This window comes from Homo sapiens, chromosome 4 (genome assembly GCF_000001405.40).
Source record: "Homo sapiens chromosome 4, GRCh38.p14 Primary Assembly".
Classification (NCBI taxonomy): Eukaryota; Metazoa; Chordata; class Mammalia; order Primates; family Hominidae; genus Homo; species Homo sapiens.
In genome coordinates this window covers 184532133-184546175 of record NC_000004.12, presented here as the reverse complement: position 1 = coordinate 184546175, position 14043 = coordinate 184532133, and the positions used below count along the sequence as shown (strand labels likewise).

Here is a 14043-nt window from a genome sequence, read left to right as displayed (position 1 = left end):
AGCACGCAGGATCCCAGCCCTGCATTCAGGGGAGTCATGTTACTTGGCCAAGATGGATGGGTTGAGCATCCCCTATCTGAGACGCTTGGGACCAGAAGTGTTTTGGATTTTGGACTTTGGAATATTTGCATATGCATAATGAGAGATCTTGGGATGGTACCCATGTCTAAACACAAATTCCTTTATGTTTCACGTACACCTTCTAAACAGAGACTCAAGCGTCATTTTATGCAATATTTTTAGTAATTTCATGCATGAAACCAAGTTTTTTAAAAATTATTTTTACTTTTATAGATTTGGGAGCTACAACTGTAGTTACCTTACATGGCTATATAGCATAGTGGTGAAATGTGGGCTTTTAGAGAAACCCTCACTAGATGAGTGCATGTTGTCCCTAATAGGTGATTCTTTGTCTCTCACCCTGCCTACCCTCCTACCTTTTTGAGTCTCTGATGTCTATTATCCCACTCTCTATGTCCATGTGTACATGTTATTTAGCTCGCACTTAGAAGTGAGAACATGTGATATTTGACTTTCTGTTTCTGTTATATTTCACTTAAGATAGCAGCCTCCAGTTCTATCCATGCTGCTGCAAGAGACATGATTTCATTCTTTTTTATGGCTGACTAGTATTCCATGGAGTATACATCACATTTTCTTCACTCAATCCTCCACTGATCAACACTTAGGTTGATTCTCTATGTTTGCTATTGTGCATTGATTGCATTTTGACTGCGACTCATCCCATGAGGGTGGGTGTGAAATTTTCCACTTGTATCATGTTGGCACTCAAAAAGTTTCAGATTCTGGAACATTTTGGATTTTGGATGTTCGGAATAGAGATACTCAACCTCTATTTACACCATGTGTATTAGTTTCCTAGGCTACCATGGCAAAGTACCACAAAGTGTGTGGCTTTAAACAATAGAAATGTATTCTCTTCTAGTTCTGGAGGCCAGAAATCTGGAACCGGGGTCAGCAGAGCTATGTTTCCTCTGAGATCCTGGGTAGAAGTCTTCTTTACCTCTTCCTAGCTTCTGATGGGGGCGTCAATCCCTGCCACTCCTTGGTTTGCAGACATGTTGCTCTAATCTCCACCTCCAGAGTCACGTGGCATTCTTGGTGGGTGTGTCTGTCTGTGTCTCTTCTCCTCCTCTTATAAGGACACTAGTTGTATTAAGAGCCCATCCCACTCCAGTATGACCTCATTTTAACTAATTATATCTGCAATTACCCTATTTCCAAATAAGGCCACATTCTGAGCTTCTGGGAGTTAAGATTTCAACATATCTTTTTGAGGACACAATTCAAATTATAACACTATGGAAATCAGCAAACACTACAAATCAGGGCTTTAAGAAAAATAATTAAAATGTAGAATTTTTTAGAATTGGTTTCCAACACATCAGTGTGTTTGTCTGTCATATGACATCAGGACAGGGCCACTCACCTCAAATATCACTTTTCCATGGGAATTTTTCATCATAAATTTCCACATACTCCAAATGGACTATATGCTGTCTGTCAGAGTAAGATTTAAAGGTGACAACATGCTAGTTAGGATTTACCAGCCATTTCTCAGCCTTTTAAACATTTCTTATATGTGTTTCCACTATAGAAAACTTTAAAAATATGGAAGAGTAGAAAGAGAAGTTTAAAAAATTCATTCATAGTTTCATCATCCAAGGAGAGAGCTATTAATAATCCTTGAAAAATTTTCTTCAAAAATATTTTTGGAACTTTTTCTCACTTTTTCTTTTGCCATTTATATTTTTTCTTTTGTGATTAACCTGTTTGAGAACTTTGGCTTTTTTTCCTAATGCTTTTTATTATATATATATTTTAAATGTATGAGTAATACATGAACCCACTTTCAGTTAAAACAGTAAGATAAGCAAAATCCATCTTGACCACCGCCTCAATACCAGTCTTTCCCTCTGGAGGTAGACACTGTTACTAGTTTCAGGTAGATCCTTCCAGACCCTTTTCAATGCATTTTATGCGTTAATATTTTTGTTCATACATAAACCATATCATATGATGTATTTCTATGCCATAGTTTACTCCGCCCCCACTCACTAAATCGTATGTCCTTGACAACCTTTCATATTAGATTTAACTTGTTCTCTTTAACTGCTGCAACATATTTCATGCTATAAATAAGTCACAATTTATGTCATTGTTCTCCTGTTGCTGATTTTTAGATTGGTTTTGATCTTTCATGATTGCAGTTATGAAGCAATGAATGTCCTTTTACATGACTCTTTGTGCCCATGTACAAGCGTTTCTCTAGGATAAATGACAAGAAGCAGAATTTTTAACTTGAAGAGTATTTATAATTTCAATATCATGCCAAATCCCCTTTAAAGTAATACCAATACACCCTTCTACTCTATCCATTTCTCCACATCCTAACCAATATAAACATTATATTCTTTTAAAAGTTTGTTCATCTGATAGGAAAAACATGGCATTTTTCTGCTGCCGTTTTGGTTTGCATTTTTAAGAGACTGCTAGTGAGGTTTACTGGCTGCTTAATATCTGTCTCGGTTTGGTCAATTTCAGTGGGTCTTCATGCATATGGAACCCATCAGCCCCTCTTAATGGCCTAATCTGCAGTAGGTTTAAAGCTCAGGCCCTTGAAATGAAACTTCATGTATTTAATAATTGGTGCATTATGGAAATAAAGCTAGTGTTTCATCTGAATTCAGATGGTCTCTCAGTTTATTAATGAATCCATTTCTATCACTGATGCTCTTTTAAGGAGGTGTGATAGTGTCTCAGGATTTGAAAAAGTAGGATTGGATTTTTAAAAAATTTGTTAACTTAGAATTTACCGTGGAAAAAAATTCTGCAAAGTCAACTACAGAATCAAAAACTAAGCAAATCATCCAATAGAGTAATCAGCTTCACTGCCTAATCCAGGGGGAACTTCAATCCTAATTTCTAAATTCCTGAAGATTATTTTCAGTTATGTCAAAGAATACAGCAGAAGCTCTCTTAACTGATGTGATTTACATTAGTAGGTAGTTGTATAATTACAAAAGTTAGTAAAAATGGAGAGTTGAGAAATAGAAACAAATGTTAAACATTGTAACTGAAAATAAAAATACACTCATTTATCAATCTTTTATAGGTAGAGCCAAGGTGTTTTCTCTTTATATAGATCTGCTGACCTCATTTCTATGTAGTCTTTTTTTTTTTTTTTTTTTTTTTTGAGACGGAGTTTCGCTCTTGTTGCCCAGGCTAGAGTGCAGTGGTGTGATCTCGGCTCACCCCAACCTCTGCCTCCCGGGTTCAAGTGATTCTCCTGCCTCAGCTTCCCGAGTAGCTGGGATTACAGGCATGTGCCACGACACCCAGCTAATTTTTGTGTGTGTGTGTCCAGCTAATTTTTTTTTGGTATTTTTAGCAGAGATGGAGTTTCACCATGTTGGCCAGGCTGATCTCGGACTCCTGGCCTCAGGTGATCCGCCCACTTCGGCTTCTCAAAGTGCTGGATTACACGCGTGAGCCACCACACCTGGCCCTATGAAGTCTTTCTTGCATAAATCACCCCCATATGTATCATCTCCAATTTTCCAGTGTCTGTTTCTTTAAAGTGGATTGAAAACTTTAATGTATTTGAAAAGCATTCTTTGTATAGTCTAATTAAACAGCATTTCTCAGCCACTTAGCTTTCTTGCCTTTCCTCAAAGCACTCAATGATTATCATTGAAACAGCAAGTCTCTTGTTTTGAACTCATAGTTCCTTGTCTTGCATACAGCTTAATTAAATTACATGTTAACAGTAAGTACAAATGGTGCCAGTGGGTTTTAAGACAACAACTAACTCTGGAAAACTAACATCTCAACTGATGGAAGAAAAAGGAAGTTGGCATATTGGAGAAAAGCCTCCATGCGCCAGTGGCACTAGTCAGATATATTATTGAGGTTATGGGTAGAATAGGTCAACTGGGAGAGTCCATTAAATGGAAATCTTTTTAGCAGAGTTCACTCTGTTATAAAACACACTAAAGTAAATGTCTCGGTGCAAAATTAGTTTTGAAACACTCGAACTGAGAAAAGATAAAATTTAACTAGGCACAGAAAAACAGATTGGGTAATGTGGTCAAAGTGCTTTGATTTCTTGGGTAAAAAAGATACCATGAGGTAAGACATTGAATAGTTCAGCGGGAGAAAGGAAAACTAGACTTAAGTTAGTAGAACTGAGACTTAGTATGTTATTGGGAGATTATTTAGTTACGCTGGAAATAATAAAATTATTTAACCTCTTTGTGCCTCGGTTTCCTCTTGTTAAATTTGAAAAATCATTCCTAATTTACGAAATAGCATCATTATGATAATCAGAATATATATTAGTGGATGACGTGCTCCCAAAGGCAGAGACCACGCCCTGTTCATTTTTTGTGATCCGTGGCATTTGTGTGGAGACGACCCCTTTAAAAATAAAATGTGAACAAGATAATACTTGTCTTCTAAGTATCCACTGGCTGGGAAAATCAACCCATGCATAGGAGGGTTCTCAGGGCCCCCTGCAGTGTTGCCTCACCCACGAGGTGTGAGCTGCACTGGTTGGGAGTTGAATTTTTTGGCACTCAGCACACGACCCATTTCCATAGTGCACATTTCACAAGTGTTTGCTGAACTTTCAAAGGCAAAGTCACCATAGCAGCAGTAATTTTTTCTTTTTCTTTTTTTTTTTTTTTTTTGAGACAGAGTCTTGCTCTCTCACCCAGGCTGGAGTGCAGTGGCATGATGTCCGCTCACTGCAACCTCCACCTCCCAGGTTCAAGCAATTCTTGGGCCTCGGCCTTCTAAGAAGCTGGGATTACAGGCCTGCGCCACCATCCTTGGCTAATTTTTGTATTTTTAGTAGAGATGGAGTTTCGTCATGTTGGCCAGGCTGGTCTCGAATTCCTGGCCTCAAGCAGCCTGCCTCAGCCTCCCAAAGTGCTGGGATTACAGACATGAGCCACCATGCCTGGCTATAGTAGTAATATTTATATTAGACTTAAACTTTGCTGTTGATATAGTCAAAACAGAACTGTTTTAAGTTTCTTTTTCACTATATATATAGATATAGATTTTTTTTTTTTTTGAGATGGAGTCTCACTCTATCTCCCAGGCTGGAGTGTGCAGTGGCACAATCTTGGCTCACTGCAACCTCTGCCTCCCGGGTTCAAGTGATTCTCCTGCCTCAGCCTCCCAAGTAGCTGGGACTACAGGTGCATGCCACTACACACGGCTAATTTTTGTAATTTTAGTAGTGACGGGGTTTCACCATATTAGCCAGGCTGGTCTTGAACTCCAGACTCCAGACCTCGTGATTCACCGCCCCCCCACCTTGGCTTCCCAAAGTGCTGGGATTAGAGGCGTGAGCCACCACACCTGGCGTTTCACTAGATATTTTATTTGTGATGGAAGCTATCTCAGCAGTTCGGATGCCTGGCTGACAGCTGGGTCAGGATTCAGGTGCCATTGCCACTAAAAGCAAGGGCCATAACTTTCACCCAACTAGAGGGATTAATAATTCTTAATGATTTGTACTCGGCCTTCCCCTCCCTTAGTACAGATAATTGAGAATTGACTGTTACTGTTTTATTTCTTTGTTATCTTTTATGTAGTATTATTTGTTATTTATTATATTATTATGTAGTATTATTATCTTAATCAATATAATACTCCAATAAATCCAAATAACCAAATAATAGTATAAATATAGTATCAATAATATAAATACTACTAACAGCCAAATCTTAAGTAATTGAAGAAATAAAAATCACAAAAAAAGATGTTTTATGCTGGACTCCATATTTGGTTGTTTATACCTAACTTTTAGAAAATTCCAGCTTTCCCTTCTCTGAATTTCCTGGGTTTTATCTAAGTTCTCTGATTAAGAACCTCATCTTTTGGCTCCAACTATATATTCCTTGATTGTAGATTTAAATTCCCAGGTGGTTGTCTCACTAGAATCCACTCCTCCCCTCCCCTAAAAGGAGCTGATTAATTAGGTGAAAGCACAGTCCCAATAACTAATTTAACTATGTTCTATTTAAGTAGCAGGCTTTCTCTCTTGTGAGATCCTGCTATTTGATGTAAAGAAAAAAGGCCTTCTTGTCAAAATTTATCAAGACTTTATATATACCGTATAATCTTCAACCTCCTAGTTCTGCTCTGATATGTATTATTTCTTTCCTTCTTCTAATTTTGGGTGTGATTTATTCTTGCTGTTCTAGTTCCTTGAGGTGCATCATTAAGTTGTATATTTGACATACTTTTCTATTTTTTTGATGCAGGCATTTATTGCTATAAACTTCCCTCTTAGCATTGCTTTTGCTGTATCCCACAGGTTTTTGTATGTTGTTTATATTTTCATTTCTTTCAAGAAATTTTTGAATTTTTTTCTTAATGGTTGTTCTGAAGCAGGCTGTTCGAGCTCCCTGTATCTGTACAGTTTCTGAAGTTTCTCTTTTTATTGATTTCTAGTTTGACTCCATTGTAGTCTGATAAGATACTTGATATGATTTTGATTTAAAAAATTTGTTGAGCTGGTCATGGTGACTCATGCCTGTAATCCCATCAATTTGGGAAGCTGAGGCAGGCAGATTGCTTGAGCCCAGAAGTTGGAGACCAGCCTGGGCAACATGGTGAAACCCCATCTCTACAAAACTACAAAAAATTAGCCAGGCATGGTGGTGTGTGCCTGTAGTCCCAGCTATTAGGGAGACTGAGATGGGAGGATCACCTTAACCCGGGGAGGTTGAGGCTGCAATGAGCCATGAGTGCTATTGCACTCCAGTTCTGAGAGACAGAGTGAGACCCTGTCTCAAAAAACAAAAACACAGAGACATATACATAAATACTCTGCAGAATCTATGTATGTATGTATGCATTTCCCTGCAGAGGACAAAGGGCTACATAAGGGACACTACTTGTAAAGTTTTTGTTTTTTGCATGTGTGTTTTTTGGGGATGGAGATTTTTTGAGACTGGCTATCTGGCCAACTTCAAAATTCCACAAGAATGAAGATTGGGTGGCAGGCATTTGACTTGCACAGTTATGCATTTTATTTGGTCACCCAGGTCTTCCACACAACCCATTTCATTAGTCATTAGTCAAATTCAATTTTCTTTTTTTTTTTTTTTTTTTTAGACAGAGTCTCACTCTGTCACCCAGGCTGGTGTGCAGTGGCACAGTTTCAGCTCACTGCAACCTCTGCCTCTCAGGCTTAAGCGATTCTTCTGCCTTATTCTCCCGAGTAGCTGGGACTACAGGTGCGTGCCACCACGCCCAGGTAATTTTTGTATTTTTAGTAGAGACGGGGTTTCACCATGTTGGCCAGGATGGTCTTGAACTCTTGACCTTGTGATCCGCCCGGCTCGGCCTCCCAAAGTGCTGGGATTACAGGTATGAGCAATCGTGCACGGCCATAATTTTTTTGGTTTTCTTTTCTTTTCTAGAAAGAAACAGGGAGGAAGGAAGGAAGGAAGAGAGGAAGGATCTGAAGTAAATATGATAAAACTTTGTCGTAGATACCAAGGTGTTTAAAAATTGCTCTATGTGTTTTTCTTTATACTTATTTCAAACCAAAAAATTATTTCATCTTTGTAAACAATGAGGAAAATACACATAAGTTTTATAAAATGCAACACTCTCATCCAAAGAAGACTAATTTTAACATTTTGATGTATATGAGTCCAGACTGTGCCATACGTTCATTTGCCTACAAGTCCTAATATATAATATGCGTTGGTGCTTTTTGTTGTTGTTTTTTTTGGGGGGATAGTTTTTGAAGAAGCCAAAAATTTTTTAAAAAGTTCTATTTATAAGGTAGATGACTCTGAGGTTTGTTCTTTCTCTGAGTCTGCGTCGGCTCGCCTTCCTTGATTCTACGACGTTTTGTCACAGTTCCACAGTCCCGTTTGTAGATCGTGTGGGTTATTCTTCACCCCACTCTGTCCACTTGGGGGCTATCTCAGTCCATTTCAGATCTGAGACTGGACGGAGGCCGACACCCGTTTCCAAGCCAAGTCTTCCTGTGCGGCCGACATTCATCAGATCACCCTCCCTCTGTGAAACGAGGTCTCCTAACGGCACCCCCTGACTTTTTTTCGACACCCTCATACATTTGGCCCTCGGTATCCACAGTGTTCCCCACCGATGGATTCAATCAACCAGGAATCGAAAATATCCTTTAATAAATTGCATCTGTACTGAACACGTACAGACTTTTCCTTACCATTATTCCCTAAACAACACAGTATAACAATTATTTACATTGCATTAGGTATTAGAAATAATCCAGAGAAGATTTAAAGTACACGGAGGATGTGCGTAGGCGATATGCAAATATTACGCCATTTTATATCAGGGACTTGAGCATTCCGGATTTGGTATCAGCACAGGTCCTGGAACCAATTCCCCAAGGATGTGGAAGGAGGACTGTATCATTCAGGAAAAAGTACAATCCTCTGCGGTGCTGCCCCCAGCTCCCCGCCTTCACCACTGCGCCTGCGCCTCCGAGAACGGACTACAACTCCCAGGATGCACCGCGCCCGCCACCGCCCTGGCAGCCCGACTTCCTGCTGGAGGTTTCCTGTGGCTTGGGGCTCCGCCCGGTATGGGGAAAGTTTAAGGCGGAAGAGCCCTCGTTTGTCGGCTGCTTGGGAAGGTATTGGGAACAGCTTATGTTTTTCTTTCACAAAAAAGCAGCAGGCACCACAGAGAGAGACGGCTGTCTAGTTTTTTGTTGGGCACAGATCTTGCTTCTCTGAACCGGGAGAGAGGTGTTTGCCCCTCGCTGCGGGGGCCCAGCACAGGTGGTTCCTGCTGGCTGTTGTCCTTGGTCACATCGTCCTTGGAGTTGTAGGAATCCCTCCCAGACTGTGGGATAGGCTGACAATCTTGGATATTATTGTAGTGGTGAATGTTTTCTCTTTAAGGGATTTCAGTGGGAAATTTAGAGGAACGTAGAGGAGGCTGTTGGGTATTTTACCCTGCGTGCTTCCTTTAGAGATTGTTCTGAGCTGTGTACTTTGTAATCCTTGGGCCCGGGATTCTTATCATGTTCTTTTCACTGGTTTTGGTTAATGTGTTTGTTCTGAAGACAGTAGCCTGGGGGAATGAGACATCTCCTTAAGGCGCCGCTTGACTGACAGACACCCTTAATGTATGTAATTCATGGAAAACTACAGTCCCCACCTCACCCCCCTAAAAAAGCAAAACATCTGAGTTAGGGGGTGTGTCAGATTGAAATGGTTGAAGAGTGAATGGTGGCTGGAAGGTGAGCAGTTAGAAGTGATTGCAAATTCCTTTCCAGTATATTGTCAAGAAGGATAGGATGGTGGCCTGACACCCAGCTCTGCTATTTATTCTGTTATCTCTTACAGGTTAGTCTCCCTCTTTGAGTCTTAGTTTCTTGTCTGTAAAATAAGGGTGATATTACCGGTCCTCCCTGCTTGTCAGTTTTTGTGAAGGCAGTTCAAAATAAAGTATGTCAACATAGTTCCTAAACCCCACAGTCTCCCAAAAGTGAGTGAGTTGGTAATCAGTAGAGTGTCCAGTGTAATACAAGGCCAGGGCCGCTAGAAATGCCGTTCAAAGCAGACCGCATCTACAAAATACCTTCACAGTAACAGCTAGATTAGTGTTTGATTAAATAATTTAATTAAATAATAATAATTAATAATAGCCTAGCCAAGTTGACACATAAAACTAACCCTCATACCCCAGAAAGTCTTTGCTCAAATATTATGTTTTCCTAACATTTAAAATTGCAGTCCTACACACGTGTACATCTTCCCTAATATTCTCTCTTCCCGTTCCCCTAGCCTGCTTTCCTTTAGCATTTATTATCTTTGAGCCATCCCTGTATTTCTTATCTCTATCTTTATTGTCTTTTTGCCTTCTCTGGAATGTTAGCTCCACGTGGGCGGGGCATTTTTGTCAATGTTGTGAACCGATGAATCCTCAGCACCCAGCACAGCATCTAGCACACAGTGGGCTCCTAAGAAACCTTTGCAAATCACCGAATGAAGCATTAATGTGAGCACTCAGTAAATATTTTTTCAAATGAATTTAGAGCTGGAGTTCATCATGAGATATTCCTGAACAGCCTCAGTAGGAGAGAAGTAGGAAAAGGGTAGAAGCATGGCAGATTATAGGAAAAAAGAGAAAATTTTCAGAGTTTGACATCTAAGAAGTCGAAGATTTAGTGAAGAAGGAGCACAGACTTGGGTGTTAAGTTCCCTTTACCCCTTAGCTGTGTAACTTTGGACAGGTTGTCTAATCTCCTTGAACCTCAGTTTCTTCGTCTGTAAACTGGAAATAGTAATACTTATCATGTAGGGTTGTACCAGTGGTGACAAGTTGATGCGTTTAATGGGCTTAGCATAGGACCTGGCCCACAGTGAGTGTTTATTAAGAGGTGTCTGTTGCCATCACCACCATCATCATCATCATTATTCAATATCAAAGTGGGGAAATTTATAAGAAATCATTGAAGTGTACTAAAAGTAAAATTTTGGGATTTCAGTCTAGCCTGTGAAGTTGGGATGTTAAAAATCTGAAACAATGTTAACACACAAGTTTGGTTTGTACAGAGTGTCAGGGCATAGTCACTTTTGTGCCAGGTCCTTTTATTTTGTTTCAAAACAGAATGAAAATCTTTTCAGCATATATAGCCCATAAAACACAGTAATTGACATCAAATCCTTCAGTTTGCCCCAAGCTGCCACTTAAAGTGCAGAGTTAGTTGGTTCCAGGTCAGAGGTGCCATTCATTTATTTTCAACTGATACATGAGACAAAAAGTGCAGTCTTCACTGCTGATGTTCTGCTCACCAGGATTCTTTTGTTATCTCCTGAGGTTGTTGCTTTGGACAACAAGAGAGATGTTAGGTTCCAGCAAAGCTCCATAAAGACACTGACTCAACTCCACCATAAGTATAACCTGTCACCATAAGTAAAACTGAAAGGATACACCTTATCACCATACTATATATATATACTGTATACTATAGTATATACCTTATCACCATAAGTATAGCTGAAAGGTTTCCTGAAAGATCCAAAGGAATATACACTCACAGAACCCTCGATATGTCGCGTTGCTTGCATATCAATATCATTTCTGGTGTTCTAACAGAACTTTTAGGATTGGTCCCCTCTGATAAATGGTAATTTTCCTGATATGTGGGTTGCGTGTTTATCTGAGAAATGCTAATTCTGGAAAAGTGTGAACCTGGTCATTCTCCATGGCATTATGCCCAGTTTTAACTTCTTGAGAGGAGACATTTGTAGTTAGGAAGAAAAGTAGATTTAATGTAGAGGAAAGATGAAGGCCGGATGTTTGAGGTTTTTCTTCTGGTCTTTCTGTTTCCTGTAGTATCTGAATATAGCTAGTTACAATATTTCATGTCTATTTAAGAAGTGGGCAGATTGTGAAAAAATAGCTGCAGTGTTCTGAGTTATGATCTTGTTTCTTGGTTTCTGTTTTGCTCTGTTGTTATGAGAAATAAATGGGAGGGAGAGCCATAGTTTAAGAATGATAGATTCTTCCAGCAGTTCTTTTTTGACTCAAGGCCATTTCCTCACAGAGGGCTGTGGAATGTGTAGTAACATTCTTCAGAGTGTCATTCAATTCAGGATGGATGGACTTTAGTAGAGAACAGCAGTCACTGTGAACTTACTTCAGGATTACAAGATATTTTCTTACCTAAATGTTAGAGATGGAATCATGAAAGTACCACTGTTCTGTGCTCTGTTTCCCGAATGGAAAAAATACTGATTTAAATTGAATTAGTCTTTGTTCTTCTGTGTATTTATTAGGCATGCTTATAATAAAGAATTAAAACAATACTTTCAAATTTATTATTTATTTATTTTTATTTTTTTGAGGCAGAGTCTCACTTTGTCACCCAGGCTGGAGTGCAGTGGTACAATCATGGCTCACTTCAGCCTTGACCTCTGGGCTTAAGTAATCCTTATGTTTCAGCCTCCCAAGTAGCTGGGACCCACAGATGTGTGCCACCATGCCTAGCTAATTTTTTATTTTTATCTTTTGTAGAGGTGGAGTCTTGCTGTGTTGTCCAGGCTAGTCTTGGCCTGGCCTCAAGTGATCCTCCCACCTTGGCCTCCCAAAGTGCTGGGAGTACAGACATGGGCCACTGTGCTCAGCCCAAATTTATTATTTTCAAATTAAAGATGTACCTAATTGATGTCCTGTCTAAAGCATTAAAATATCTTGATAAATCCTTTCCTAATAGGAATAGCCCAGGATAAAATTGGGTATGACTCTGCCCCTCACTCTTTTTGTTTTGAAGGTAGCATGTCCGAGTCTACGTTCTTTCTGATAATGAATGCATCTGGCAGAGATGCAAGCCTTATCTTCTGTTGTTAACATTGTTTCACAGCCTCAGATCAGTCACTGCACAGCCCCAGGGGGGCCTACACATCAAATTGTGATTTTTTCGAGGAGGAGGCCATGAGTATGTATTCTCATCAGGTTCTTAATAGGAGAGGGGGATAATTCAGGTTCTATTTAAACATTGCTCTTTTTGTTCCTGAGGTATGTCAGCTGAGGTCACTTTGTAAGGAAAATTGAGATTGTGTTCCCAAGATTCCGGCCACTTCCCAAGGACACTGACTCAGTTCTTGTTCTCACCCAATTCAGTATCTCAGCTTCCAGCGGGCAGAACCTTACCTCACCAGATCCTTAACGGGTATCTTTTTCTCCAACTCTAGCCTCCTCCCACATTGCTTAGTTTCCCCATTTTTTCCCAACTCATCTGGAGCCCTGATTTTTTTTTTCTTTTTTTGAGATGGAGTCTCTCTCTTGTCGCCCAGGCTGGAGTGCAGTGGCGCGATCTCGGCTCACTGCAAGCTCCGCCTCCCGGGTTCATGCCATTCTCCTGTCTCAGCCTCCCGAGTAGCTGGGACTACAGGCGCCCGCCACCACGCCCGGCTAATTTTTTGTCTTTTTAGTAGAGACGGGGTTTCACCGCGTTAGCCAGGATGGTCTCGATCTCCTGACCTCGTGATCCGCCCGTCTCGGCCTTCCAAAGTGCTGGGATTAAAGGCGTGAGCCACCGCACCCGTACTTTTTTTTTTTTCTTTTTTTTGAGGCATGGTCTCACTCTTGCCCAGGCTGGAGTGCAGTGGCGCGATCTCGGCTCACTACAAACTCCGCCTCCTGGGTACCAGGGATTCTTCTGCCTCGGCCCCCCAAGTAGCTGGGACTACAGGCGTGCGACACCACGCTTGGCTAATTTTTGTATTTTTAGTAGAGATGGGGTTTCACCATGTTGCCCAGGCTGGTCTCAAACTCCTGAGCTCAGGTGATCTGCCTGCTTCGACCTCCCAGAGTGCTGGGATTACAGGCATGAGCCATGGCGCTCATAGATACAGGTATAGATTGAAGTTCTTTTTTTTCTTTCAGCAAATGGATATCTAATTGTTTCAGTATCATTGGCTGAAAAGACTATTGTTTTTCCACAGAATTTCCTTTAACTTTGTCAAAAATTAATCACCCACGTTTGTGGAAATAATTCTGTTCTCTCTATTCTGTTTCATTAGCCTATTTGTCTATCTCTATGCCAAGATAACACTGTCCTGATTACTGTACCTTTATAATAAACCTTCAAATCAGGTAGTGTTAGCCCTTCAACTTCATTCTCCATTTTAAAAGTTGTTTGGGCTGTTCCAAGTCCTTTAATTTCCCTGTGAATTTTAGAATTAGCTTTTCAATTTATATTAAAAACTTTGCTAAGATTGTAATTGGGATTCTCTTAAATCTGTAGATCAATAGATTTAACTGACATATCAACAATATTGAGTCATATACGTGCATGCCCATGAATAAGGTGTATTTCTCCATTCATTTAGCTCTTTAATTTCTCTGGTAAAAATTTCTTCAATAGGACATCAAAAGCACTAGGCATAAAAAGAATATTGATAAATTGGACTCACCCAAATTAAAAATTCTGCTTTTAATTTTTTTAGTTAAAATTTTATTACTAATATTATTTTTGATGGACAGATC

General features: G+C 39.9%; 1 long non-coding RNA gene across 1 annotated transcript in view, besides 2 other annotated features; it reads left to right on the top strand.

Annotated features, from left to right (window-relative positions):
- Positions 8253–8582: an enhancer, noted in NCBI's record as "active region_22230". NCBI's record gives its function as "activates an Ori minimal core promoter by ATAC-STARR-seq in GM12878 lymphoblastoid cells {active_cell/tissue: GM12878}" and the evidence as "EXISTENCE:reporter gene assay evidence [ECO:0000049][PMID:35858748]".
- Positions 8593–14043, top strand: part of LINC02427 (long intergenic non-protein coding RNA 2427) — a 31124-nt gene continuing 25673 nt past the window's right edge. Inside the window, exon 1 of the long non-coding RNA NR_147158.1 lies at positions 8593–8674. This is a non-coding gene — a long non-coding RNA (long intergenic non-protein coding RNA 2427). The remainder of the gene's footprint in view (positions 8675–14043) is intronic.
- Positions 8653–8862: an enhancer, noted in NCBI's record as "active region_22229". NCBI's record gives its function as "activates an Ori minimal core promoter by ATAC-STARR-seq in GM12878 lymphoblastoid cells {active_cell/tissue: GM12878}" and the evidence as "EXISTENCE:reporter gene assay evidence [ECO:0000049][PMID:35858748]".